Genomic DNA, 26,492 nt, shown 5'->3' with positions numbered 1-26,492 from the left:
GCAGGATGATGGTTTGAGCCCAGGAGTCCTAGACTGGCCGGGCAACACATGGAGACCCTGTCTCTAAAGAAGAATAATAAAAACATCCATGCCTGAGTCCATGAGTGGAGCCCTGGCAGAGATTCCACGCCCTGAGGAAGAGGGAGGGTGGGAGGGCACTGCAGTGGGAGAAAAGAGGTTTCAGACACCAGACCGTGCATAGGACGGGGTGGAGGAAGTGCAGAAGTCGGCTGGCCATTCCACTTCAGGGAGATAGATATTCTCCAACCCCGGACTACCTAAGCTCTCTGCAGACAAGGAGGGAGTCCCTTCAGGGAGGACTCAGCATGACAAGTCCCAGCCTCCTGCTGAATCCTGCCCATAAAGTTGGTTCTGAAAGTGAATAAATGAATGAATGAATAGATGGTTGAATAGACCTCTTCTTTCTCCATCCCGAGCGTCCATGGCTTCCTTTCCCACCTGCCCCTTGTTATCCTGAGAGAGTCACAGCTTTCAAAGGCCCACCCCTCGCCTCCCCACCAGACCTTGTTCAGGGACCCCTACCCCACCCCTACATGACCTCACACTTGGACGGGCCGCCCCAAACCAGGGGACCAGGACGCGTCCCCCTAGGTCCGCCGCTCCAACTGATATCTAAGCACCACCATGCCCGCTAACGCCGCCAGGTGGCGCTCAGTGCCCAGGCACTGCCAATTTGTTCAACAAATATTAATGGCTGCCCCCATTGAGCCAGGCACTGGGTCCAAAGATAGGGACATGAAGATAAAAATACCGCAATATGTCCTTTTCAGGAGCTCATGGTTTCATGGGAAACATGTAAACAAAGACGGGAAAACAAAGGATTGCCTTAAAAGGTGAGAGGCAGAAATCCCAGGGGCCTGGGTAGGAAGGGGCCCCTTCTATCAGACGCAGGGAAACGGCCGGAGACAGTGGCCCGGGGATCCTGGACACCAGCCCCGTGCCTCCTTCTCAGCCCACTTGCTCACCCTCCCCCTTGAGGAATTCGGGAAGGAGAGTGAACAGAACCCTTGAAAAATACAGAAAAACGTCCAGCCTGTCCTCAAATGGGTCCTCAGTCATGGGGGAAGCTGGGGGACCACAGCCTTAGATCTCTTGACTCTTCTCTCTCCTACCCCAACCCTGCACCACAGTCCCTACACAAGCTCCCACCTCCACCACTGAAAAGGTGAGAAGGTGATGACTTGAAAGGCCTCCTGGTCACTCAATCACCCAGCTCCTTCTCCCGACTCCCCCAGGCAGTGGTGGAGGCAGCATTAACCCATCTCAGCCTCCCCTACAGTAGTGGGGCCCAAGTTTGACTGATGTAACAAACACCTTGGGTACTGGCTGAGAATGCAGATTCTGGGGCCTGCCTCGGACCAGCTGAATAAGGCGTCTCTCCAGTTGGGGACTGGGAATCTGTCATTTTAACAAATGCATTCAGATGATTTCTAGAATCAGACAAGTTTACGAACTGGAGTGCACGGGGGTTATGAGAACACCTGGCACTTCACGGGTGCCCAGGAGAGCACCCTCTTAACCTTTCTGACTATGACCAAAGGAGAGAGTCCCCCACCGCAACCCAGGCCGGCCATCTCCCTGGCCTACTTTCTTTCCTTTTTTTTTTTTTTTTTTTGAGACAGAGTCTCAATGTGTCACCCAGGTTGGAGTGCAGTGACACAATCTCTGCCCACTGCAAACTCCACCTCCTGGGTTCAAGCGATTCTCCTGCCTCAGCCTCCCAAGTAGCTGGGATTACAGGTGAGCACCACCAACCCCGGCTAATTTTTGTATTTTCAGTAGAGACAGGGTTTCACCATGTTGGCCAGGCTGGTCGCAAACTCCTGGCCTCAATCAATTCCCCCGCCTTGGCCTTGCCAAGTGCTGGGATTACAGGTGTGAGCCATGATGCATGGCCAACCAGCCTCACTTTCAAAGCCAGGACACAGCTGTCCCCAGGTGACCAAAGTTCCCATCAGTGAACCATCATCCCCATCACAGGGACATGAACACAGATGCAGGGATGGGGGTGACTTTGCCCTTGCAGACCTCAGAGCAGGTCACTATCTACAGACACCGTCAAGTAGCTGAGGAACTGGCACACACAGTAAGAGATTCCCCTCAGAGACCCAGGACACCGGGCTGCAGTGAGTTGTGGAGATGGAAGCCTCAGATTGGAGGAGGTGACAGAATTGTGTGCCAGACAGACTTGGATACTAGGAGAGAGATCAGTGTGGGAATTGATGTTAATTAGAATGATGGCACGGAGCAGCCTTTGATAAATATGGATGAAAACCTGATGAATGAATGAATTAATGAGCCAAATGCTATTCCCATGTCTGTTGCTGTCTGCCCCATGGGACACAGCATGTTTTATAATGATGAGCTACACGCTGAGAAACAGCACACCAATCTGCTCCACGGATGTAAATCTAATTCAGCCTTCGAAGAATCATTCAGCAAGGCTGGGTGGAGGGTGGGTGCCCCATGCCACATACATGCAATGAACACACACTCCCCGCCCCAGCCTCCTTGAAAACCCTCCCAAGGAGAGAATGAGTTGAAAATCTAGGCAGGCTAAAAGTTGGCCCATCTTTCTCAGGGGGAGAGATGAGGAAAGGGAGTGTGGCCGAGGGTAGCTCAGTCTGGTCTTTGTGAAGGCTGGGGCAGGGACGTCGCAGGCCACTGCAGCTGCTGGTGGGGGGCCACTGCTACCTTTGGCCCCTTTTCTTTCTTTCAGAAGAATTTTTTTTTAAAAATATGTAATTTATTTTTATGGAAAAGAGAGAAAGGAAGGAGAGAAAGAAAAAGCAAAACGAGACAGAAAAAATCTTCTTGTCCCTCATCTGCTTGGTACCAGGGGATTCCCACCCCCACATCCGACCCCCTTTCCCCCCACGCCCCCGGCCAACTCCCCCAATGGTCCACTTTAACATCTGCTATGGTGCCTTTTGTCTCTTTCCAGATTTCCTATGCAAATACAGTCAATTGTGAATACACAGGGGGAGGGGGAGCTACTAAAACCTCCCCCGTTAAGTCTGCAATTGGATTCTTCTGAAAATTCTGCTTTGCATGGCAGGGTGGCACGCAGTGGGGGTTGGGGCCAACAGTGCCCTGCCCCAGCCCTCTCACCACCTTCCTGGCTCTGATGACCGCTCCCAAATGGGCCTGGTGAAGGGACAGGGCGGGATCCTCCCCAGCTGGGACCGACTCCTTTTGTCTTTCCCACGCCCCACCCAGTGTGTGCGTGTGTGTGTGTGTGTGTGTGTGTGTGTGCGCGTAAGGGGTGGACCCTGTGGGCCAGGATGCCCCCTGACCTTCAGCCCGGACAGCCCCTGGGCTCACACGGCGGCCTCAGCCCAGCTTCTCTTGGGAACCTCAGGCTGCCCATGGACACCCAGTGCCTGAGTCTCTTTCCGGTGCCCCAGCTGGCCTGACTGCTAGTGATGGGCTTGTCCCCAGCATCCCCTGTGCCAGCACCCACATCAGGGTGGGGGCACCCTACGGTGAGAAAGCCTGGCAGGTCACATGCTGCCGAAATACTGTCAGGCCAAGGGTCACAGTTCCCAGGCCAGCCTGAAGCAGCTGGCAGCGCCGGGGAGAAGGGGAGGCCAGCACCAGCTTCCTGGCTGCAGGGACCTCGAGCTCCAGGCCCCCAGCCCGTGTGGCTGCCTCAAATGCCCACCGAAAAACCCTCGGGGAGTGGGTTTCCACCCGGAGAGTTTGCCCCCAGGGGACGTTTGGCCGTGTCCAGAGACATTTGTGGTTGTAGGGTTAGGGGGCTGGCTGTGCTCCTGGCATCCAGTGGAGGGGGTCAGGGATGCCGCTCAATATCCTGCAGTTCCCGGGCCAGCTCCACTACACAGCGATCCGGCCACAAATGTCGCTGGTGGAGCCGAGGAACCCCGGCCTAGAGCCAGACGTAAGGCAGCGACAGGGCTCCCCGTGCCCTTGGCCTCACTACCTCCACCCGCGGAAACTCCATGGCCCGGCGGGCCTCCGGAAGGGGATTCTTCCCTTGGGAAAAGGGGCCTGCTTCCCTGGCGTCACCCACCCCACCCCCGTCTCTGCGGGGCCTGAGAGACACAGGGATAAATGCGGCCCCCGCAATCCCTAGCGGCTGCGAGGCCCAGCTCTGAGGGCGGGGATGGGCGGAGCGCGGCGGCCCGGCCCCCAGGCTACAGCAGGAGCTGGGACAGCTGGCTTCGGCCGCCGCCCCGCGGCGAGGATCGGGTTGCAGGGGCCGGGGCGGGGCTTGGGGTGGGGCACGAGAGGCGGCCTCGGGTTGGCTGGAGCTGGGGTGGCCGGGCCCTCGCGGGAGAGGCACGTGGGCGCGCCGGCTGCTCGGGCCCACCCCCACCTCCCCCCACCTTCACTGCCCCCCACCGCCCCCCACCTCCCCCAACCCAGGTGCGTGCGGGGGAGTGGGCTGTCTGCGGGTGGGGTTCCGGGGCCCCGCCCCCTCTCCCAGCCGGGTCAGGTTAGGACGCTGGGTTAAGGACGGAGCGTAAAACCTTCCCTGGGCCCGGGCCCCCGCGGACCCTCTCCTGCCGTCGGTGGAGTTGGGGGTGAGGCAAGCCACCGTTGCCTTTAGGTGAATCAGAAGGAGCCACTTCCAGGCCCCTGGCTTGGAGGAGTCTGCGGAGGTGAGGGGTCGGCGGATGGGGCGGACAACCGGTCTGGGACCGGCCCCATTCACCCCCACGGGACCCAACTTCTCTCTCCAAAGCACAGCCAGGCGGTCACCCTGTGTCTGCCCAGTTCTGCTCCAGACTTTGAGTCGGAACCCCTGGGGGTGCATCTGCGGCAGAGCCCTGGGGCTTTAGGTCCCCTCTCCACTGCTGGGGACACCAACTCCAGGGCTTAGACAGAGCTGGAGACATCGGGGTGTATTTTACAGATGAGGAAACCCTTGCGGGGGCGAGGGGTCAAGGGAGCTGTCCAAGGCCACAGAGCTAGCTGGAGCCAGGCCCTGGTCCGAGATGCCCTGCCTGCCACGAAGGTGCCGCTTGGGAAGGGGATACCCGGGGAAGCTTGCTGAAGGCACCTGCGTGCTTAATCCCAAAACGCATTTGCTGGGACTCACATGGCCACTCCCACTTCAGCCCTCAGGCCTGACCTGGCAAAGGAGGGCAGAGACCAGATCGCTCTCATCTCCACTCCCTCCCGTCCACCCAGTAGACAGTGGACATTTGCTGGCAGAAAGCAGCTCCGTCCCAGATCTTCAGCCTAGCTTCTTAGGCTTCCTGTGCACCTGGCGACCCTCCTAACGCCTCTGCTAGCCCTTCTCCCCTGCCAGTCAGGGCGCGGGCACTGCCAAGGGTCTCTCTCCTTAGCATCCTCTTCCAATCGTGGCAACCTGCCAAGCCACCCACTCTGGGGACCCAGGGCATGAGGCAGCATAGAGGGAAGGGAAGATGTGGCACCAGGAGGTGCCAAACTGAAATCTGGCCAGAAGACCTGCTTGTCTGGGCAGGAAACACTGGGCAGATGGTGCCTGGACGCTCTGCCTTGACTGTGACTTTCGTGGGGGTTATCTGGAGGGGACAGAACACCAAACACAAACTCAGGGGGCTGGTACCCCCATTTTTCAGATGAGAAGACTGAGGAAGGACCAAGGGAGCTGCTGAAGGTCACAGAACTACTAACAGCCAGGATGTGAACCCGCAGCCTCTGATTCCAAAGTCATATTTTCTGCGTGCTGCAGAATTGCCTCCTGCGACAAGGGCATGGGTCGCTGCTCCCCACCTCCTTCTCTGAGGGTACTGGTGTCTCCCTTTTAATCACCCGCACCCCAGAGGGACGCACCGCTCCAGCCTCTGCCTATCAACAACCTTTTTTCAAGGAGGATGAGGTCAGAACCGCACCCTGAGCCCAAGGAGGATGAGGTCAGAGCACTCCCGGTCTGGTGCAGATGCTAAATAATTCATGCAGCTGCTGTGAACAGGGGCTGCAGCTTCCTGGAGGGCCCAGAGTGGAGACGGCAGACAGGAAACAAATCCTGGTTCCTGGCACCTGTGCCTGACCTTGGCGCATCCTCCGGGGGCTAGTGAAAATGCTGCCCTTGGCGAGAATGGCTTGGAGGGCCAACAGACCCTTCCAAGCAGCACCCCCACAGGGCAGGCACTTAGCCTCTGTTGCTTGCTCTCTTCTATGAGCTGTGGGGGGCTGACGAACAAGTGCAGGGCCATGAGTAAACTGGAAAGCCAGGAAAGGCACTCGGCAGGCAGGTCTTCATGGCCCAGGGGATTTACCAGCCATCCCTGGTTCTGTGCACTGAGAATTTCACCCAATGGGTATCCTGGCTGCCTCTTCCAGCCATGCCAGGCAGCAACAGGGATACTTTTGGGGTCGCCTCCCTCCCCACCCACATCTTGTGTAGGTGTTAGAGTTCTCTGGCCTTGACGGGTTGAGAGCTCAGTGGTTTTTGGAGGCCTGGTTTTCCCCTTAAAATAAATCCCCAACAGAGAAAAAGGTTAGTTGGAATCAAACAGCATTTGTTGGTGTAAAAAGCAAGAGGTCTAGCAGGGAAATACACATGAAAAAAATCCCAGAGGCAGGGTCGGGGGTGGGGGAGCAGGCACCTGGAATCCCAGCTACATGGAAGGCTGAGATGAGAGAATCGCTTGAGGCCAGGAGTTCGAGACCAGCCTGGGCAACGTAGCAAGACCCTGTCTCTAAAAATAATTAAAAAAAAAAAAAAAAAACTAGTAACTCCCAGAATTTATGAACACACAGGAATTCAATGGCAGTAAGCCCTCACCCATGGAAGGTAAGGTCGTTTAATTCTGAGCAGTTATTAAGTCCAAAGTCCTCGGTTTGACAGTGGTGGGTGTGAGATTTCCCATAGTGTTGGCTGGATGATGGTGAACCTGTGACAGGCTCTGCCTCTTCTAGTCTTTTTCCATTCAACGCTTGTTTGTGATGCCACTCGACCACCTCAAAGAAGCTGCCTCTCTCCTCCTAAGAACTCATCTAACTTCTTCTCCACTTGGCCCGGGCGGGAGTAAGCAGGGCCAGTGGGTACTCCTGAATACAGGCAGGCCTGCATCTTTTAGGATCCCATCCCTCCCTGAGCCTCACGCGCAGACCCCCAGAGGACTCAGGCTATACACACACCCACGTCCACTGGAGACTGCAGCCTCTGGGTATCAGGCCCTGCCGGGGACTCCTTTGAAATTATCACATAGGAAAGCAACACAGCGCCTTGATTCACTAAGGGATCTTGGGGCCGCTAAGCTAGACCAAGGGCAGCGTGAGGTCCACAGAGCTCCCTGCTTCCCTTCCACTGGAGGGAAATAACATTCTGTTCATGGACTTCGACAGGCAACACAGAGAGGTCGGGGGCCACAGTCAGAGCTGCAATCCTACTCTGCAGGGATTGCTCGCCCAATTTAGCTCTGGAAAAGTATGCCAGTGACAAAGGCACAGGCTGCTGGGGACGGGGGTAGCACCAGAGAGCTGTGGGACTGACTACAGGGCACCTCTCCAGAGAGCTGCTCTGGTCGTCATCCTCCACCCCGGCACCCAGAGGTGCTGCTGGGCTGGGGACTGAGCTTTAGGGCCCACCTTGGATAAGGGCAGGAAAAACCTCAGGAAGACAATGTTATAGAGAGCTCATTTTCACGAGCCTGGAGCTGTGCCCATCTCTGTCTTTGGTGCCAGCACCATGGAGGTACCCCCTCTTTGCTGGGTGACCGTCAGGACCCTCTGGAGCATGTCCGAGGGCTCAAAATACAAGAGGCTCCTCCAGTGATGAACCAGCGCCAGCATATCCAGGTGCTGCCCAAGATGAGGTAGAAACAACACATCTGCCCATCAGGAAATAGCACAGTCTTTAGTTCTGGATCCCGCTTACCTGAGGATCCCACTTACCTACTTACATATCTGCCCATTAGGAAACAGCATAATCTTTAGTCCTGGATCTCACAGGCCTCCCACGTCCCACAAGTCCCAGTCACGAGAGAGGCCTAGACTCCAGTTCATCTGGTCCAGGGCTCTCCACTGGTCCCTGAGAATGCAGTCCTGACCCCAACCCCATGTGTCCTAAGGTACTTCCAGGCCCTGACCAGAGATGTTGGAATAGCCACAGCAGGCCCCTATTGCATTCCCAGAACCTGTGAGATCCAGGTAATCAGGGTCATGGACACCTGTTCCTGCCACAGGAGCCACCTTGAACCCCAGATGCCAGCGTGGCCTGCCATTCCTAACTCCTTAGTGAGCACTCCATGAGGTACTGCTGGATGGAGAGAGCTGCCCTCATCTCAGCAGGCTCATCCTCATCCCAGACGTTGAGGGGCACTGCGGGCAGAGTGCAGGCAGGGCTGGCCCTGGCTTGCTTGTGGAAACTGCTTTGTGGAAGATGGGGACGGCTCAGTGGCTCTTGAGTGAAACACCCCAAGGGCTCAGATCCAGGACCCACAGGCCGTGGAGAGAAGCAGTGTGCCCAAGCCTCGGGCTGAGCTCTGCCCCCATCTCAGTGGCCTTCCACAGTCCAGGTGGTGGCAGGAGGCCCTGGTGAGAAGGGCAAGGGCCAACTTCTGCCCTGGCTTGGCTCCAAAGACTCATGGAGGAGATCCATCTAGGCAGAGGGTGGGACAAGCCAGTGCCAGACACCAAGATGGCAGGGCCAGGAAGGTCCAGAGTCAAGACGGGGCACTGAGGCCTGTTGTTCACAGAGGGGAAGAAGGCAATCTGAACCACAGCTTGGGGACACAGGGACTATGATTTGGGGGGAGGGGGGCGTGTCAAGAGGGGAGTTGGAGGCAGCCTGGGGGCCCGCGGACAGCTCCTTGTAGCTGCAGCCACCTGGGGACCAGGAAGATGGGCTGGGCAGGAAAGGGAGGTGGCCCTAGGCGCTCCAGTCACACACTCAGGGCTTCACGGGGGCCCACTCGGTCCACTGCTTCAGGTTGGTGGCCTCCGGCCCCTCCCAGCTCCAATGACAAGGATGGGAAAGGTGCTGGGCCCGGTCCAGCCTGGGTACAGAGGAATGAGGATCAGGATGCCGTGCAGTCCCGGGAAGAGGGCTTCTACCATCTCGTTTTACTTTGTGGGGACTGAGCCTAAAGTGACCAGAAAGAACAAGAGTCAAAGGGGACTCTACTGCGTGGGGCCCAAGAACTGGTTTTTACTTAAAAATAGTGTTTCAGTCCCCAGGAGGCTAATGCAATCTGAGCATAGAAGGAGAATTTTGGGAGAAGTTTATTTTTTCTTCCCAGCAAACTTTCTCTCCCCTTCAAGTTTATTTTTTTTTTCCCAGCAACCTTTCTCTCCCTTTCAACAAAAACATTTTTTCCCCTACAACCGGTATCAGAAAATAGCTTCTGACTAGCTGGGGAGAAACATTCCCAAGCCTGGGAGGAGCAGGCTCCCCGGGGCCGGCCTGGCAGCCCCCTGGCAAAGTCTTGAGCCAGCGTCCAAAGGTCAGGACCCTGCTGTCTCAACCACATGGCTGGAAGTGCCACCCACTGGACTGGCTTACCCAGGGTGGGCCACGGAGAGAGGCTGCTGGACGTCAGAGTCTTAGGAAAACCTGGTTGGTGTTGGCCTGGCCTCTCTGGGTCAGTTCGCTTACCTGTAAAAGGGGGCGGTAGAACTACTCTGAGGCCCTGTCTCACCCCAAAATGGTACAGTTCTGGGATTTTGAATCTGGAAAAGGGATAGAATACTAGTCCTTCCCACCTTCCAGGGCAGCCTTGGGGATTAAAATGAGCTGATGGGCCGAGAGTGGTGGATCATGCCTGTAACCCTAGTACTCCAGGAGGCTGAGGTGGGCAGATCACTTGAGGCCAGGAGTTCAAGACCAGTCTGGGCAACATGGTGAAACCCTGTCTCTACTAAAAATACAAAAAGTTAGCCAGGTGTGGTGGCACATGTCTATAATCCCAGCTACTCAAGAGGCTGAGGCAGGAGAATTGCTTGAACCTGGGAGGCGGAGGTTGCAGTGAGCCGAGATTGTGCCACTGCACCCTAGCCTGGGCAACAGACCAAGACTCTGTCTCAAAAAAAAAATTAAATTAAATTAAATTAAAAAATGAGCTGCTGAGGAAAGGCTTTTGCTTAGTATAAGTACCGAACAAACTGACTTTCTTTTTTTGAGACAGAGTCTCGCTCTGTTGCCCAGGCAGTAGTGTAATGGTGCAATCAAAGCTCACTGCAGCCTCGACCTCCTGGGCTTAAGAGATCCTCCCACCTCACCCCCTTGAGTAGCTAGGACTAATGTCTGGCTAATTAAAAAAAAATTTTTTTTTTGTAGAAACAAGGTCTCACTATGTTACCCAGGCTAGTCTGGAACTCCTGGGCTCAAGCAATCCTCCCACCTTGGCCTCCCAAAGTGCTGGAATTACAGGCATGAGCCATCGCACCCCGCATAAATGGACATTTTAATGACCGCTCGGGAACGAAACCAACCAGGACCTGGCCCAACCCTTTGCACTTTTGTCAACCCATTTGTAAACAATTCCTGACCCTCTCTAGGCCATTCCTTTGCACGTATCACACGGTGTGATCTCAAAGCATGGAGCAGAATGAGTCTCCACTTTGTCCGCTATGGGATCTTCACTGTCATTCATCCCAGGAGAAGCTGAAATGAGTTCATCTTCCCTTACACACAGAGCCACCTGGCTCAAGGCTCACCTTCCCAGTCCTATCCCCACAGCCACTGGAGGGGGGTTCCCAGAGGAAAGCTGCCTGGCCTCAGACAAGCCCAGGTGCGGGACTGCATCCTAGGCACGCACTGAGCCTGGGTGTTCATTCTGATCGCACACAATACAGACAGAGGACCTGCTAAAGAACCACTCACTGGGGAGAGGCATCAGCTACTTAACTGCACAGGAAAAATCTGCAGCAGCTTTAAATGTGAGCTGGATTTGGAGGGAAGAAAGAGAAGTCACCCACAGGCCATGGTGGAGGAGACGTTCATCAGAAACCAGGAGGCCAGGTCAGAAACCACAATCCCAGAGCAAGAGTTAATAAAGCAGAAATGTATTTATTAGGCACCCTTGTTCCTCACAGAGGAGCAAGATCCAGGCCTGAGCGCCTGGGAAGTCTCTTGAGGTTGCAGGAATCTCCAGAGAAACATAGGCGCTGCCCAGCCACCACCCCGAGAACACTATTTGGCTGGAGTGTGACCGCCGAGGTGATCCTGGCAGGAGGCTGGGGTTGGCTCCTCGACTCCACAAACACTGAGGAGTGGGTGGGGACACCCATGACACCCACCCAAACACTGGCAGAGAGGGAGGCCCTTCCAGATCTGGGGCACATGTTGCTGGGCCTGCCAGGGGGAGGAGGAGCCTGGAGAGTCCCTTGCCCGGGGCCAGGTCCTCAGGGCCCTCCCCAAATCCGCCCGCCTCTCCTCGCCACCGCTGACTCAGTCCCACACGTAGGGGTTTCTAAAGACCTGAGAGTTCTTGCCGTCTTTCGGCGGTGTGGCCGCCTGGTGGCTCTGGGCCGAGTACATGTCTTCAGCCCGCAGGGTCGAGTTGGCACTGCCCATCACCTGGCTGTTGGCGGTGGCCCGTGGGAGGATGATGTCGTAAGCTCCTTCGGACTGGAAGGAAGAACAGGCGGTCTCACAGTCGGGGATTGGGAGCCAGGTTCCGCCGGGGCGGATGCACAAACACTTCCTGCAGGGCTGGGACTGCCAGATCCCCCCCAACTCCCCCCTCGGCTCCTCTGCCCCCTCTGGCTGGGCCCCAGGAGCAGCCTGGGACAGCCAGACCTGAGCCCCTTATCTCACCCTGCCTCTGGGCATGGGAACGAGGCCCCTGCTGACCTTGGATGGTGCTGGGGCTTCACAGAGGGGGATCCCCTTCTCAAGACCCTCCTACTTCCAATTGTTTAGGGAAATGCTAGGGCCAGTGGAGAGTCAGCCACACAGAGCTGCTACTACCTGTCTGACATAGCTCCCAGGCCCCCTTCCTCCAAGAATCTTTTTTTTTTTTTTTGAGACGGAGTCTCGCTCTGTCGCCCAGGCTGGAGTGCAGTGGCGTGATCTCGGCCAACTGCAAACTCTGCCTCCCGGGTTCACGCCATTCTCCTGCCTCAGCCTCCCGAGTAGCTGGGACTACAGGAGCCCGCCACCGTGCCCGGCTAATTTTTTGTATTTTTATTAGAGACGGTGTTTCATCATGTTAGCCAGGATGGTCTCAATCTCCTGACCTCGTGATCCACCCGCCTCGGCTTCCCAAAGTGCCGGGATTATAGGTGTGAGCCACCATGCCCGGCTCCTCCAAGAATATTACCCCGAGTCGACCGCCTGTCACTACCATACCCCCAGCATCACAGTTGCTGGCTTCCCTGGCGGAGGACATGGCTCTGGGTGTGCCCACACATCTCTCTAGGCATCTAGTCTGGCCGGTCTGATTTGGAGTCTTTTTTTTTTTTTTGTAGAGATGGTGGGCGGGGGGGGGGGGTCTCACTACGTTGCCAGGGCTGCTCTCGAACCCTCGGCCTCAAGCAGTTCTCCCATGTCAGTCTCCCAGAGCACTGGGATTAAAGGCATGAGCCACTGCAACCAGCCCTGATTTGGAGTCTTGAAACCTGAATTCTCTGCCTGGCGCTGGGTCTTGCTCCCATGTGGGTGAGAGACACCAGCTGTGGGGTGAAGAGGGTCCTGAGGTACCTGTTCCGGCTCCTATGCTGGAGGAAAGGTGTATTCCTGGCCCCATCTGTCTTAGCCCTATGGGAAAGAGCTGCCACCAAATCTCTGTAGCTCCCAGACCCCAAACTAGCCTTCAAGTCAATCAGGCCCAGGAGGTCCTCAGGCCTGTCTGCAATGGCCCCTGTCCATGTGGTCCCTGGAACATCTACATCTGTGGTCCAAAACCACAGATGAGTGTGCATTGGAATCACCTGCACTGCTTGTTAAGCCTCACCAACTCATAGCTGGACCCTACACAGTCCCCACGCAGACTCCACCAACTCATAGCTGGACCCTACACAGTCCCCACCCAACACAGCTGGCCCCATGCAGCTGGCAACAGCTGGGGCTGGGGGAGGGAGTGCTGAATGCTGGGCTTGCAGATCTGCGCTGGATAGTGCCCCCATGGTGCCGACGCCCTGAACGGATGCTAACAGTCAGCTCCATCCCAGCTCTGGCCCCGCCCCATCTGCACTTTTTTTTTTTTTTCTTATTTATTTATTTTTGGAGACAGAGTCTCACTCTGTTGTCCAGGCTGGAGTGCAGTGGTACAGTCTGTGCTCACTGCAACCTCCACCTCCCGGGTTCAAGGGATCCTCTGGCTAAGGCCTTCCTAGTAGCTGGGACTACAGGCATGTGCCACTATGCCTGGCTGATTTTTGTGTTTTTAGTAGAGATGAGGTTTCAGCATGTTGGCCAGGCTGGTCTCAAACTCCTGACCTCAGGTGATCCACCTGCCTCAGCCTCTCAAAGTACTGGGATTACAGGTGTGAGCCATTGTGCCTGGCCCCCATTTGCACTTTGAGCAGGCTCCCAGGTGAGGCTAGTGCTGGTGGTCCGGGTACCATGTTTTGAGAACCGGTCAGATAAAATATCCCTGTTAATCCAGATCATCCCCCAGGAAGCAGACTCCAAACGCGCTGGGGAGTGAGGTGCAGCAACAGTGAAGGAAGCTATTCAGCAAAGGCTTCTGTGGCTGCCCACTCCCCGCCAGAGCTGACAGCCCGCAGCCTCCACTCCTGGTGCTCCGGAAGCTCTCCTCTGCCCAGGCTCAGGTTCAGGCTCAGGGAGAGGGGAGGCGCTGGGATTGGAAGCTTCAGCCACACTCACCTCCCCCTGCCCCGCGGCTCTCACAGAGAGGGCGGGGAGGGGGATGAGAACGCCACCCAGCTGACCTCCTTGTTTCCTGTTCCCAGTGTCCTGCCAAGACGGGTCACTGACCTCTCCCCACAGCCTCTGCCAGCCGGGAGGAGGAACACATATAGGAGTGAGTAGAATCCAACCCACCGTCTTCCTGCTCCCTCCCCCTCCCCTGGCTAACGATGCTTCTAGTTTCCAGAACCCAGGGGGAGGTGTAAGGTCGAGACTTGCTGCCTGCCAGAGAGGGAGGAGAGTGTGGGCCCCCTTGGCACAGCTGTGGTTGAGAAGTAAACACCTATCCAGACCTGTGACATTTGGACCCCTGTCTATTTTGGGAGCACCTGGCTGAGACCCTCCTTTGTCCCTCCCCAAGCCCTCCAGGGTAAAGCTGGCAGCTCCCACCAGGGAGAGCTCACCCAGCATTCCCTATAGCATCCCGACACAACCTGTGTGCAATGCCCCAGTGACACAGGGCGGGTCCCACTGCAGTGCAGCTGAAGGTGGTGGGTACACTGACTCCAGGACAAGGAATTTAAGAACTGGGGCTCTGGATTCCCCAGGTAAAAGCACCAGATGGAGAAGCTTGCCTTCCCCTTACCACCTCCACCCAACCCAGCTCTGGCCACATGGCCTTCTCCCACTGGCCTGCTGAGGCTGGTCTCTGTAGCCCAGACGTGTCACGGGGACCTGGGGAACCCACTTACCGGAACTTTGTGCATCAGGGCCATCTCAGTGGGCTGGTACACACTGGTCAGCAGCTGCCCATTGTACCCGCTGTATGGTGACACCGGCCTCTTAGCTACAAGGAAAAGCAGGAACAGTTTGAAGATCCCAGGGCTCTCAGCTCCCTTCCCCACCTCCCACAAACCAAGCAAGGCTCTCTGGGGGCAGGGAAGAGGTAAAGGGGGCAGGCCAACCCTGGCATAGTCTCTAACCCAGGAGTGGCCAACTTGGGGGTGAGGTTGTGAACACGGGGGCCCCCTCCCAAGCCTAGCACCCCTTTGTACAGATGCATGGGAGTGAACAACACTGCTGAGCTTCCCTGCACTGTAGACACCCCAGCCCCTGACCCAACAGCTCAGAAAATGCTCTGTCAGCAACTTCCACATCCCCATCCGCCCTCCGGGGCCAGAGGCCAAGAGGACACATGGGCCTTCGGCCGCCTTCCAAGATGGCCAGCCTCCAGCTCTGCCTGTCACCACGGGCCAGCTGCCAGGCACAGAGGTAAATACATCTGAGAGCCCTCGGCCTAAGCCTGTTCATGTCCTCCCAGGGCCGACCTGGGCGCCCCTTCCCCACTACACCAACCCAGAGCCTGGCCAGGGAGCCTTAACGCACGTCCCAGCCTGTGGCCCCCTGGCAAGTTTCCAGAACTATTTTTAGCTCCAGGGATACTTCCTTGTGCCTTTGGGGTGTTGGTTTCCCGGTGTGTTCCGCCCTGCTGGGCACTCCCAGGGTGTTTGAGGAGGGCTGCTGACGCACCCCGGGGCCTCGGAGCAGGCCTTGCTGTGAGGACGGCACAGCGGACGTCTGGCTCCGGCAAGGCTGACGGCCCTGCAGTTCTGAGGGACCGCAACCTATATAGAGTTTCCTAAGTGCTGGGGCTGGGCTCACTCTATTGATTTTTCCATTTAGAAAAAAAAAAAGGAAGTAAAAACTCAGCCCCAAGGTTGAGAACCATTTGGCCCCGACCGGCATTCAGTGTGGGGGCGGGGCCTGAGGCTCCTCCCAGCACTTGTCTGTAAGCCCCACCTCTCTGGTGGGTTTTGCCAATTCCACCCCCGCCATGCACACCGTGCGTGTGACAGGGGCCACCCAGGGGTGAGGCCAGCACCTCAGCCCAGGTGGGCAGATCAAAGATCAAGTGCCCGGCAGGACAAGGGTCATCTCTTTCTCCAAAGCAGGGATTATGAGGATTTCACAGTGTGTAGAAGAGAAAGGAATGTCTCTGATTCTGGAACTTCCACTGCCTGACTCTGACCTCCCAGCAGAGACCCCAGAGCCGGTGCTTGTTAACCGGGCAGTTAAGAAAGTCTGAAGCCCCCAGGCCTCCAGATCAGCACAGTCTGGGGGCAGGGTCAGGACTTTGAGATGGCACCCCCAAATTTCCAGGTCATGTCAGATGAGGGGCTGCAGCCAGCAGGCTGAGGAAGAGCAGGTGGGATGCGTGCAATGGGCCACATCGGTAAGGGGATTAGCACAGGGGCTGGCACAGAGCAGGTGCTGAGGAAATGCTAGTGGGCTGTACAGCTAACAAGGGCGCTGCTGAGACCACTACACGGCACCCCAAATACTTTTATTAAAAAGAGAAAAAGGCCAGGTGCAGTGGCTCACACCTGTAATCCCAGCACTTTGGGATGCCGAGGCAGGCGGATCACTTGAGGTTAGCAGTTCGAGACCAGCCTGGCCAACATAGTGAAATCCCGTCTCTATTAAAAATACAAAAATTAGCCAGGTGTGGTGGCACGTGCCTGTAATCCCAGCTACTTGGGAGGCTGAGGCAGGAGAATCTCTTGAGCCCGGGAGGCGGAGGTTGCAGTGAGCCAAGATCACACCACTGTACTCCAGCCTGGGTGACAGAGCGAGACTCCGTCTCAAAAAATAAAAAAAGAGAAAAAAATTACCTGAAAAATACTTCCTTTTAAAGAAAACTAAGGTGATTATGGATACATACATAATAGAAAAACAAGTTCTGGAAGGATAGTATTAGTAAAATATGTAAAATAATAGACACGCACACACAGCAAATAGCTAATTCTTCAAGAGTGCTTTTCATGGGCCGGGCACTAAGTAATTTTTTTTTTTTTTGAGATCATCCAGGCTGGAATGTGGTGGTGCAATCACGGCTCACTGAAGCCTCAACCTCCTGGGCTCAGGCAATCCTCCTGCCTCAGCCTCCTGAGGAGCTGGGACCATAGGCATGCACTACCACACCTGGCTAATTTTTGAAATTATTTGTAGAGACGGGGCCTCACTATGTTGTCCAGGCCGGTCTCAAACTCCTAGGCTCAAGCTCCACTCACCTCAGCCTCCCAAAGTGCTGGGATTACAGGTGTGAGCCATGGCGCCCAGCCGGCACTAATTAATTCAATCCTCACAAGAACCCTATGAAATAGGTACTGACATTATCCCCATTTTACAAATGGAGAAACAAAGGCACATAGATATTATATCAGTCAATAGTGGTCACTTCTGGGGATGGAACAGGATGGGACGGGTAGGACTGGGGAGGCAGCTGGGGAAAATTTCATTTTATCTGTAATGTTTGAAATTTTACAGTGAGAATGTATGCATGAATTATATGAATATAGAAAAAAAATCTTATTTATTTATTTATTTTGAGATGGAGTCTTGCTCTGTCACCCAGGCTGGAGTGTAGTGGCTCGATTTTGGCTCACTGCAACCTCCGCCTCCCAGGTTCAAGTGATTCTCCCGCCTCAGCCTCCCGAGTAGCTGAGATCACAGGCATGAGCCAGCACACCCAGCTAATTTTTTTGGATTTCTAGTAGAGACGGGGTTTCACCATGTGGATCAGGCTGGTCTCGAACTCCTCGTCTCAAGTGATCCACCCGCCTTGGCCTCCCAAAGTGCTAGGATTACAGGCATGATCTACCATGCCCAACTGAAAAAAAAAAATCTTTAAATTAAATGGAATTTAGAGACACTTAGGCAGAAAACTACAGAAAACCTCAAAAACTTTCCATTTTGCTCAAGAGACTGGCTCCCTGTCCTGCAGTAAAAGACATGGGATGGAGAAAGGGGCCACTGGGGGCATCCACAGAGACCCACCTGCAACCGGCTCATCCATGGAAAAGGCCTTGTTCTCCACGAACATGCTCTGACCCTTCTGCTCTTTCAGGATGGTCTCATAGCCCACGCCCCGGGTGGGGTACATGTCCCCCTGGTAGCTTTGCTCTGGGCTGGACTTGGTCACCTGGGAGACCTCGGGGATGACGTAGAAGAGGACGAAGGCCCAGGCATTGGCGGCGAGGGCGATGGCCAGCGTGGGGTCATCCCAGGTGGGACTGTTGTGCTGCTTGTTGCCGTAAGTATACATGACGATCCACACCACCCATATGGCAACGGAGGTGGCTGTGGTGAGGAGCACAAAGACCCCATGCTTACGCCAGCGCTTGTAGCGGCCACACAGGGCGGGCCAGGCCCCCAGGAAGGCACCCAGCAGCAGCAGCATGACGTAGATGAGTGCCATGACAAAGTCCATGTTGGCGATGGCACAGGGGGAGGCCACGGCCCAGCCTGCGCTGCTGTTGCCCTGAGGGCCGCCCTCGCCACTGCCCCGAACCAGGGTGATGATCAGCCACTCTGTATTGATGATGACCTCTACCAGGGTCAGCAGCAGAGCCACAGTGAAGATCACCCAGCCCCGGGGCCCGTGGTTCTTCCGGGCCAGGAAGTTGAGGGCAAAGACGTGAGCCGCCAGACAAGAGAAGCAGATGGCGAACAGAACCCCAAAGAGGAAGCGCCGAGAGGCACAGGTGGAGAAGTCGGGCTTCACCACACAGGCAAACACGAGGCAGAAGAGGCCCAGGGTCCCCAGAAGGAAGAATACCTGGGTCCCCAGCAGGCTCCGTTTCTTGGTGTCCTGCACAAAGGGGAGGCTGGCCACCAGGATGATGGTGAGCACAAACGTGGTGACAATGCCCGCCCCAGCCACGGCCTCCAGGACGATGCCCCACGCCCCAGAGCGGTCACACAGGTTGTAGTACAGGGGGTTGAGGCCTTGGCTGCAGCCGGGTGGGACATGGCCCTGGGCCCAGGCCCCTGGGAACAGGAAGAGAGGCAGTCCCAGGCACATCACCAAGGCTTTGTGGATGGCCATCCTGGCTCCCAGGCCAGGCTCTGGTTGGGTCCCTAGAGACAGAAGGAAAAGGGACAAAATTAGTCCTCCAAGATCAGACTCCAATATACATGGTGCTGCTTCCCCCAACCTAAACCCAGGCAGATAGTGCTAGCTGCTGACCGTGAGGCTCTCTGGACCTCAGAATCCTTCTTAACATAGAACCCCTGAGAGGCATTTCAACTGGCCACAGAGGCAAATGAGATGAAGCCCATTTGTCAGCCCTATTCCTAGCCATGGCAAAAGAAAAACCTGTCATTGAATTTTCAGTTCCCTCCCTTCCACCAAACATAACCTGGGTTCAGATATTCCCTGAGCTCTGGCGGCCACGGTGGAGGATGAAGGGGCTTGTGAACAAGTCAAGACCAAGCATACCACCCACCCAGTACCTCCTCTCTGCCCTGGGACTTTCAGGCTTCAGGAGGTCAGCTGCTATGCCCCTAAACTCCATTCCTGTGAGGCCTAAATCCACAGCCAGTCAGCTATGTGTTCATTCATTCATTCAATAGACTTAACAAGCAGCTGCAGCAGGCATAACCAACAGCCAGGAAAAATGAAGAGACAGTCATTTTCCCACTTTTAGTGCCAAGTCTCCAGTTCAGAATCCTCCATTTTTTGCCTAGCTCGGAAGCGGAAGTCAAGGGTGAAATAAACGAAGTCCCCAGCTAAGGAGTTAATGACTTAATGCAAAAATTTTCCTTCGGAGCATTAACATTTTAAAAGTAAGAACCAGGCAAGGGCAATGCAAAACCCAAAGGAATTAATCTTTAATAGAAGACTTTAAGACGTTGTAGCTAGAAGGCAAGAAAATTAGCTTTTATTAACACCAGCAAGGTAATTTTCACTCCATCTACTGACTGCCGCTCTACCAAATGCCACAGATCTGTGCCAGAGAAGAAAACCAAACTCCTGCTCCCAATACCAATTGGATTTTCCCACGTGAAGTGGAGGTAATGGATTTAACAGGTTAAGAAATATTAAAGACCAAATCAATGAGTTTTTTTCCAATCAAAAGTTTTAAATGTACTTGGAGGAAACCTAACACTGAAAATTTAAATGCTGCTGGGCACGGTGGTTCATGCCTATAATCCCAGCACTTTGGGAGGTCAAGGTGAACAGATTGCTAGAGTCCAGGAGTTTGAGACCAGCCTGGGCAACATGGTGAAACCCCGTCTCTATAAAAAACACAAAAATTAGCAGCTGGGTGCAGTGGCTCACGCCTGTAATCCCAGCACTTTGGGAGGCCAAGACTGGTGGATCACTTGAGGTCAGGAGTTCGAGACCAGCCCGGCCAAAATGGTGAAACCCCGTCTCTACTAAAAATACAAAAATTAGCCGGGCGTGGAGGTGCACGCCTATAATACCAGCTATTCAGGAGGCTGAGGCAGGAGAATTGCTTGAGCCCGGGAGGTGGAAGTTGCAGTGAGCCAAGACTGCGCCACTGCACTCCAACCTGATCAATAGAGTGAGACTCTGTATGAAAACAAACAACAACAACAACAACAAATATATATATATATATATATATATATATATATATATATATATATATGAATTAGCAGAGAGTGTGGTGGCATGCACCTGTAGTCTGAGCTACTTGGGAGGCTGAGGTTAGAGGATCATCTGAGCCCAGGGGATCGAGGCTGCAGTGAGCTGCGATTGCACCACTGCACTGCAGCCTGGGCAACAGAGCGAGACTGTTTCCAAAAAAAAGAAAGAAAAGAAAAGAAAAGAAAAAGAAAATTTAAATGCTTAAAGAAACAGGTTATACGTTTCAAAATTCTATGAATGCAGGTAGTCCACATTTAAGTCACCCCACGTGTTCAAATAACTAGTTGTAACCCAGCTTCATCAGGAACTCTCTGGGAAAACAGCAACCAAGCTTTCCTGGTCTGACAGTGACCACTAGTGGCTGGCAGGGGAATGGCATTATCTAACTCTCTTCTGTGAGGCTGCCACCCTTTTTCCTTTTTTAGGGGGATTGTGAGGTTGTTTATACATGGTTTACCTCCTTACTGTTTTCTACCATTCCTGGCTACTTAATTTCTAATAGGCAAACAAAAGCCCTAAATCCCACAGTTGATAGAAATTGTCCCTCTTTTCAACACAGAAGCAAAAAAAAAAAAAAATTCTGTCCATAATTGTTATGTGAAAGAACACTTACTAAATCAGGGGCAATGCAACTCATAAAATTAAGTGAAATGGACACAATAAAGAGGATCCATTTTCAAAGTCCCTTCAAATAGTCTCCATGCCACTTGAAAATATTTAGGTCGTCTTAGCCATCTCAGCTACCTCATCTTTCAATTAAGCTTGCTTAAGATTAACTCTTAAAATTAACTATCTCATGTAAATGTACTGTTGTTTTCCTAAATAACTGGCGTTCTAATGGCTAGTTTCTCTTTACTTCTAATGCAGGACTTAAATAAGCTTCTGTAGGGGACTTTGTAAATCAATAAAGCACCAACTGCATTTTATTTACAAGTGCTGGAAAGAGGAGTAAGAGAGGGCTAAGAGGTAAGGAGTAGGCTGGGTGCGGTGGCTCATGCTGTAATCCCAGCACTTTTGGCGGGCAGATCACGAGGTCAGGAGTTCCAGACCAGCCTGACCAACATGCTGAAACCACGTCTCTACTAAAAATACAAAAATTAGCCAGGTGTGGTGGCGTGCGCCTGTAATCCCAGCTACTCAGGAGGCTGAGGCAGAAGAATCCCTTGAACCTGGGAGGCAGAAGATTGCAGTGAGCCGAGATTGCGCCACTGCACTCCAGCCTGGGTGACGGAGCGAGACTCCATCTCAAAAACCAAAAACAACAACGACAACAACAACAACAACAAAAAAGGGAAGGCGTAATATGGACCCACTCCTGGGAGATAATTTATGGATAACAACAAGCTGTGGGATCCTAAATGTTCAACTTCATCTTGGGCTCCACAGCCAAACCAGCCAGAACTTGGGCTTGAAGCTGGACGTAGGGAAGAGAACCCTCAGAACTGCCACTTAGACTCCGGACACCTGCACTTTCAAGGGCTTTTCACCCCACCTCCCTCGGCCAGGGCCCAGTTTAGAACAGGCAATTACTCCAAATCAGCAAATATTGACTGTGCGCCTGGGAAGGAAAGGCCCTGTTGTTCCCAGAGCTGTGGAAAATACAAACATGAACAAACGTAGTCCCTGACTTGATGGCATTTAAAATCTATCAAGAGAGATAAGGTAGGTACTCACAAAAATTACACAAGGAAGAATATGATTAAGGGCCACACAACGGAATTTACCTGCAGGAGAGAGACAGGGGCTACAGGAACACAGAAGAGAAACAGGCAGAGTAGAGAAAGACTGTTCCGCAGAGTTTTACTCAGAATCTAATAAAAAAACATACCAGGTCCCAGACACTGCCAAGAGACAGGGACACCCAAAAGCTAAGCCCTGAAGAATGTGAGGAAGGACTGAGCAGGTGAAGGGAACAAGGAGAGGGACGTGCAAGGCAGAAAAGATGGTGTGAATCAAAGCCCTTTGAGCCCAAGTCCAGAGCAAGTTAAAAAAGAATTCAGTTTGCCAAGTATCAGCTGAGTCTGCAAAGGGAGGCTGCAGCTGCTGGCTGACACATTGGAAATGCTACAGGGGTGGGGCTGGGGGCATTATCCTAAAGGCAACAGGCAGCCACTGAAGGCTGCTTTTAGCATCATGGGGGCATAGCCAGGGTTGCGCTTTTAGGAAAAGAGTCTGGCAAAAATGCACAGGCAATCGATTTGTTGGGGGGCACATTCATTCCAGTTTAAAGGTCAAGGCCAAAGGTAAAGCCATAATGGCCAGCTCTGAAAGATCCTTTCCAAAAAACAATCGAAGGACTGGTTGGATGGCGGAGGTGGGGGAAAAGGATACTAAAGCCCATACTACAAGTTCAAATCTAACAGGCATGTCATTACAGAAAACCAAGCCAGGGACCAATGTCACTCATTCTTCTTGATCCATCTTGCCCTAGAAATACTTGCCTGTACCCTGCTGGCTCCAAGAAGCCCACAGGCACTTGGGCTAGGGTCAGGAAAGCTTCACAGCTCTCTGTCCCTAAGCCCCCACCTCCAGTTTCCCCCTGATTTTGTGGTTGGTGACCAGCAACTTCCTTCTGCACCTGACCCTTCAAGTCTTGCTTCTCCTGCCAACCCCCTCAATATAGAAACTTTCAAGGAATGAGAGAGGAGCCTGTACCTGCCCCTCACCGCATCCAGGTACCATGCTGCTGCCCAGCAGCCAGGCTGCTGCTTTTAGTAAGTTGCTGAGTAACTTAACAGCCTCAGAGGAAACAACCTGGTCCCATCCTGAAATATCTTATTTCTCTGGTTCCCCCAGAAATGGAAGGGCAGGTGGGAAGACAGAAATACATGGACTCAGGTGGGAAACCTGGGCTTTCTGGGCGTGGCTCTCATCCACTGCCTAGGACAGGGACCCTCAGAGAGTTAAAGAGAAGCTCAGAAGAGCACAGCTCCAGCCCTCTGATGCCGGGAGTGCACATTCAGCCAATGCCTTTTTTTTTTCTTTTTTTGAGACGGAGTCTCGCTCTGTCGCCCAGGCTGGAGCGCAGTGGCGTGATCTCGGCTCACTGCAAGCTCCGCCTCCCAGGTTCATGCCATTCTCCTGCCTCAGCCTCCCGAGTAGCTGGGACTACAGGCGCCCGCCACCACGCCCGGCTAATTTTTTCTATTTTTAGTAGAGACGGGGTTTCACCGTGTTAGCTAGGATGGTCTCAATCTCCTGACCTCGTGATCCGCCCGCTTCGGCCTCCCAAAGTGCTGGGATTACAGGCGTGAGCCACTGCGCCCAGCCTTTTTTTTTTTCTTGAGACGAAGCTTCACTCTTGTTGCCCAGACTGGAGTGCAATGGCATGATCTCGGCTCACTGCAACCTCCAACTCCCAGGTTCAAGCAATTCTCCTGCCTCAGCCTCCCGAGTAGCTGGGATTACAGGTGCCCACCACCATGCCCAACTAATTTTTGTATTTTTAGTAGAGACAGGGTTTCACTATGTTGGCCAGGCTGGTCTCAAACTCCTGACCTAAGGTGATCCACCTACCTCAGCCTCTCAAAGTGCTGGGATTACAAGTGTGAGCCACCGTTCCCGGCCCAATGCCACCTTTTAAGATGGTGGCTAAGGGACTGACAAGATGGACTCAGCTCTGGTCAGAGGCTTTTCCTCAGGACCCTGGAGGAAACTTCTGCCTCCTGTGGGTCCCCAGACCCTGCACTAAGACTGAGCCTTCTGATCCCTGAACGTTCAAATCATGTCCGTGTCTCCCCTCCAGGGCTGTAAGGTCTTTGAAGCTGGTGAACAAGACTTCTAGAATCCACTGCCACAGCTGGTGCTGTGCCTGAACACAGTGGGCATTTGGAAGTCACCTCTGGATGGTCCCAGGTGCATTTCTCCACACCCAGGGTTGTCCCCTCCATGTTGGAGTTGCATCTTCTGCTTAAAGATTCTCAGAGGGTTCAAGGAGGGGGGTAGGAGGGGAACCTCCTTCCGCCCTGAGTCTCCCCCACCCCACAGCTGAAGCCCAGCTCCAGCCTCAGATTATTTTCTGGACAAAAGGGCCTTTTGCTTCACTTCCCTGGAATCAGTTGTACAAATATTTTTAATCGCCTCCGAAATCGGCCTTTCCCCAGGCTCAGCCACCCTGCCCCCAGCTCTCCTGTGAGTCAGTGCAGTCCAGTTGCTGAACCTCCCTCCTCCCTCCTTCTCTCTCCAGGGGGCGCAGAGGCCTGGTGGGCTCAGAGGCTCAGAGGCCCAGAGGCCCAAGCAGCCCTGACTGGTTTCCCCCAGCAACAAGTGGCTTCATCCAGCAACCGGGGAGACAGCCAGGCCTTCTCACTTCTCCAGAGCAAAACTCCCTTCCTCGCTCCAGCATCATCCACACACAAGCCTGAGACCCCCTCCACCCACCAGGGCCAAGGATACCGCACTGGAAAGAGAGCTCCAGCGCGTCACAGGGCCAACCAAACTCAACACTGACCCATGGCCAATGGCTGTCTTCAAGGGTGCTGTGACCAGGGCACTCTTCAGGGAGGTTCCCCCAGGGATACCACAGAGCACTTGCCTTCCTCCCATCCCACACACTCAAGAGCCTATAGGGAAAGACGATGGCCCGACTGACAGCCTTCCTGCCTCCACTCCTATCGGTCTCTCCCAGTCCCTGGTTAGGTCCCACTGTCTCACCCCTCTGTGCAGGGCGCTCAGGCGTTTACCCCATCGATAAGAAGGCGCACAGGAGACGCCTGTGCCTGGAAGGAGCGGCCTCAGTGTGTAGGTTGGTGGGGGGTGGGTTGGGGTTCCTCGAACCTCAGCCTAGACACCCCACCCCTATCCCCCTGCCCCTGCCCCGCACCAAGACCAGGCATTTGGGCCAAAATGCCCTGAGCTCTCTGAGACTTGGAAATCTTCAAGGGTCTGCTCTGGAATGTCACTCTGGAATGCGCCCCACCCCCCAATGCACTCCCTCCCCCAGTCCAGTTGAAGGCACAGGGGTGGGGGGCCGGCGGGGAGAGGAAGCTCCAGGAGCACAAAACCCTACTTCCAACAGTCTCCTCTCCCGGGCTTTAGGATCTTGATCGTGGAGTTTGTAAGTGATTGGGTCTTCCAGCGTGTAACACTGCGGGCCTGGGGATGGAGGTGCAAAGGACGCTGGAAAAGCCAGCCGGGAGTGGGGGTTCGGGATCTAGGGGCCAGGCTACCAGAAGGGGAGGCGCTTTGATAGTCTGAATTTCCAAACTTCCCTCAGGGGGATTCTGAACCCTCTCGTCCCTACTTGGGTCGACGGTACTGGGGTCTACACCTGCGCTCCCTGGGTGGCTGGAATGGGGAGCAAGGGAACCAGTCACTCTCTCCCATTTTTAGGGCCACAGAAACCTGCCCTCCACATCCACAGTAGCAGGCGGCAGAGAGGACGCCACCCACGAGAGAGAGTGACCGCGGACTCCCACCGAGAGGCAGGCGGTGGAGGGGCTCCTCTTGGAGACCCCGATTATGGAGTGGTTTCCCCTCCCTCCAGCCCGAGCCGCAGCGCCGGGCTCCCCCACCCCCCCAGTCCCCAGCCGGCTCGGGTTTGAAAACTTTCAGCGACCGAGCGGAGTTGGCGCGGCGTCCCCAGCCCGCAGGATGTCCAGTCCCCCCGCCTCTGCCCTCGCCCACTCCCCGCCGTCCCGACCCGACTCTTCCGGGCGGCGGAGCGGGAAGGCAGCAGCCCTTACCTGGGACTCGCCGCCGGCCCCGCTCCAGCGCAGCGTTTGGGGCCAACTCCAGCCCCAGGCGGGGGGCGGGCGGGGGTGGGAGGGACGCGGCGCGGGGCGCTGGGCCAGGCCCGGTCCTGGCTGGGATGGCGGGGCCCGGGCCGGGACGCAGGGCCTGCCTCTCCCTGGGACCGAGGCTGAGCCAGGCGCGCTGGGTTGCTCGCTCTCGCGCGGGCCTGTCCCCAGGCAGGGCTCCTTGCTTTCGGCGAGGGTGGGCTGGAGCCTGCATCACCGTTACATCACCTCCATTCAGGGCGCTAATCGGGCGCCCGCCGCGCTCCAGGTACGTGCGCTCCGTTTACACAGGAACAAAGCCTGCCCGGCCCTCCCCGCCCCGACTCACCTCCAGGCTGAGCCGACTCGTACTTTCCGGCTGGTGAGGGAGATGGGAGTTTCTGGCCCTGCCGGCGTGTGGGTTGTTGCTGTTGACTGCCACGCCCCCGCATGCGGGCGCGCGCACACTCACGCGCACTCACTTTCTGGGCTCGGCCTTCGCCGGGGCAATTGGTGTGAGGGTGCAGCCCTGCGCACCCCCCACCGCGTCTTCCAGAGAGCGCGCCTACGGACACGCGCGGGG

General features: G+C 55.0%; 1 protein-coding gene across 7 annotated transcripts, besides 8 other annotated features; it reads right to left on the bottom strand.

Annotated features, from left to right (window-relative positions):
• Nucleotides 2,922–3,592: an enhancer, noted in NCBI's record as "H3K27ac-H3K4me1 hESC enhancer chr17:72450947-72451617 (GRCh37/hg19 assembly coordinates)". NCBI's record gives its function as "activates a minimal SCP1, AML or CMV promoter by ChIP-STARR-seq in naive H9 embryonic stem cells {active_cell/tissue: H9 hESC(naive)}" and the evidence as "EXISTENCE:reporter gene assay evidence [ECO:0000049][PMID:30033119]".
• Nucleotides 4,088–4,447: a silencer, noted in NCBI's record as "silent region_8933". NCBI's record gives its function as "represses an Ori minimal core promoter by ATAC-STARR-seq in GM12878 lymphoblastoid cells {active_cell/tissue: GM12878}" and the evidence as "EXISTENCE:reporter gene assay evidence [ECO:0000049][PMID:35858748]".
• Nucleotides 4,088–5,337: a biological region, named in NCBI's record as "H3K4me1 hESC enhancer GRCh37_chr17:72449202-72450192".
• Nucleotides 4,347–5,337: an enhancer, noted in NCBI's record as "H3K4me1 hESC enhancer chr17:72449202-72450192 (GRCh37/hg19 assembly coordinates)". NCBI's record gives its function as "activates a minimal SCP1, AML or CMV promoter by ChIP-STARR-seq in naive H9 embryonic stem cells {active_cell/tissue: H9 hESC(naive)}" and the evidence as "EXISTENCE:reporter gene assay evidence [ECO:0000049][PMID:30033119]".
• Nucleotides 5,338–6,329: an enhancer, noted in NCBI's record as "H3K4me1 hESC enhancer chr17:72448210-72449201 (GRCh37/hg19 assembly coordinates)". NCBI's record gives its function as "activates a minimal SCP1, AML or CMV promoter by ChIP-STARR-seq in naive H9 embryonic stem cells {active_cell/tissue: H9 hESC(naive)}" and the evidence as "EXISTENCE:reporter gene assay evidence [ECO:0000049][PMID:30033119]".
• GPRC5C (G protein-coupled receptor class C group 5 member C) lies at nt 6,742–26,312 on the bottom strand. Of its 7 annotated transcripts, NM_001438839.1 has the most exons (6): nt 26,259–26,312; nt 17,573–18,655; nt 14,488–14,582; nt 11,402–11,551; nt 9,485–9,577; nt 6,742–9,065 (listed from the first exon to the last, which is right to left on the bottom strand). In NM_001438839.1, exons 2-5 carry the CDS (start codon nt 18,621–18,623, stop codon nt 9,518–9,520), a joined length of 1,356 nt encoding a protein of 451 aa, NP_001425768.1. In that variant the 5' UTR covers nt 18,624–18,655; nt 26,259–26,312; the 3' UTR covers nt 6,742–9,065; nt 9,485–9,517. The 7 variants fall into 7 exon arrangements, with proteins under 7 accessions (NP_001425768.1, NP_001353190.1, XP_047292356.1 ...); NM_001366261.2 differs by lacking the exon at nt 9,485–9,577 and having other exon boundaries at nt 25,877–26,312; XM_047436400.1 differs by lacking the exon at nt 9,485–9,577.
• Nucleotides 13,091–13,634: an enhancer, noted in NCBI's record as "H3K4me1 hESC enhancer chr17:72440905-72441448 (GRCh37/hg19 assembly coordinates)". NCBI's record gives its function as "activates a minimal SCP1, AML or CMV promoter by ChIP-STARR-seq in naive H9 embryonic stem cells {active_cell/tissue: H9 hESC(naive)}" and the evidence as "EXISTENCE:reporter gene assay evidence [ECO:0000049][PMID:30033119]".
• Nucleotides 13,635–14,179: an enhancer, noted in NCBI's record as "H3K4me1 hESC enhancer chr17:72440360-72440904 (GRCh37/hg19 assembly coordinates)". NCBI's record gives its function as "activates a minimal SCP1, AML or CMV promoter by ChIP-STARR-seq in naive H9 embryonic stem cells {active_cell/tissue: H9 hESC(naive)}" and the evidence as "EXISTENCE:reporter gene assay evidence [ECO:0000049][PMID:30033119]".
• Nucleotides 15,222–15,341: an enhancer, noted in NCBI's record as "active region_12705". NCBI's record gives its function as "activates an Ori minimal core promoter by ATAC-STARR-seq in GM12878 lymphoblastoid cells {active_cell/tissue: GM12878}" and the evidence as "EXISTENCE:reporter gene assay evidence [ECO:0000049][PMID:35858748]".
• Nucleotides 26,313–26,492: the final 180 nt, after the last annotated feature.

This window comes from Homo sapiens, chromosome 17 (assembly GCF_000001405.40).
Source record: "Homo sapiens chromosome 17, GRCh38.p14 Primary Assembly".
Lineage (NCBI taxonomy): Eukaryota > Metazoa > Chordata > Mammalia > Primates > Hominidae > Homo > Homo sapiens.
This window is presented reverse-complemented; position numbering and strand designations above follow the sequence as displayed.

Bases quoted from the DNA above. Each gene is read 5' to 3' on its own strand.
- GPRC5C (XM_047436398.1), bottom strand. From the start codon at position 26,144: ATGCAGGCTCCAGCCCACCCTCGCCGAAAGCAAGGAGCCCTGCCTGGG. The intron at 18,656-25,876 runs GTAAGGGCTGCT...TTCTGTCTCTAG, and splicing joins GGGCCGGCGGCGAGTCCCAG to GGACCCAACCAGAGCCTGGC. The intron at 14,583-17,572 runs GTGGGTCTCTGT...TTTTCCTTGTAG, and splicing joins CATGGATGAGCCGGTTGCAG to CTAAGAGGCCGGTGTCACCA.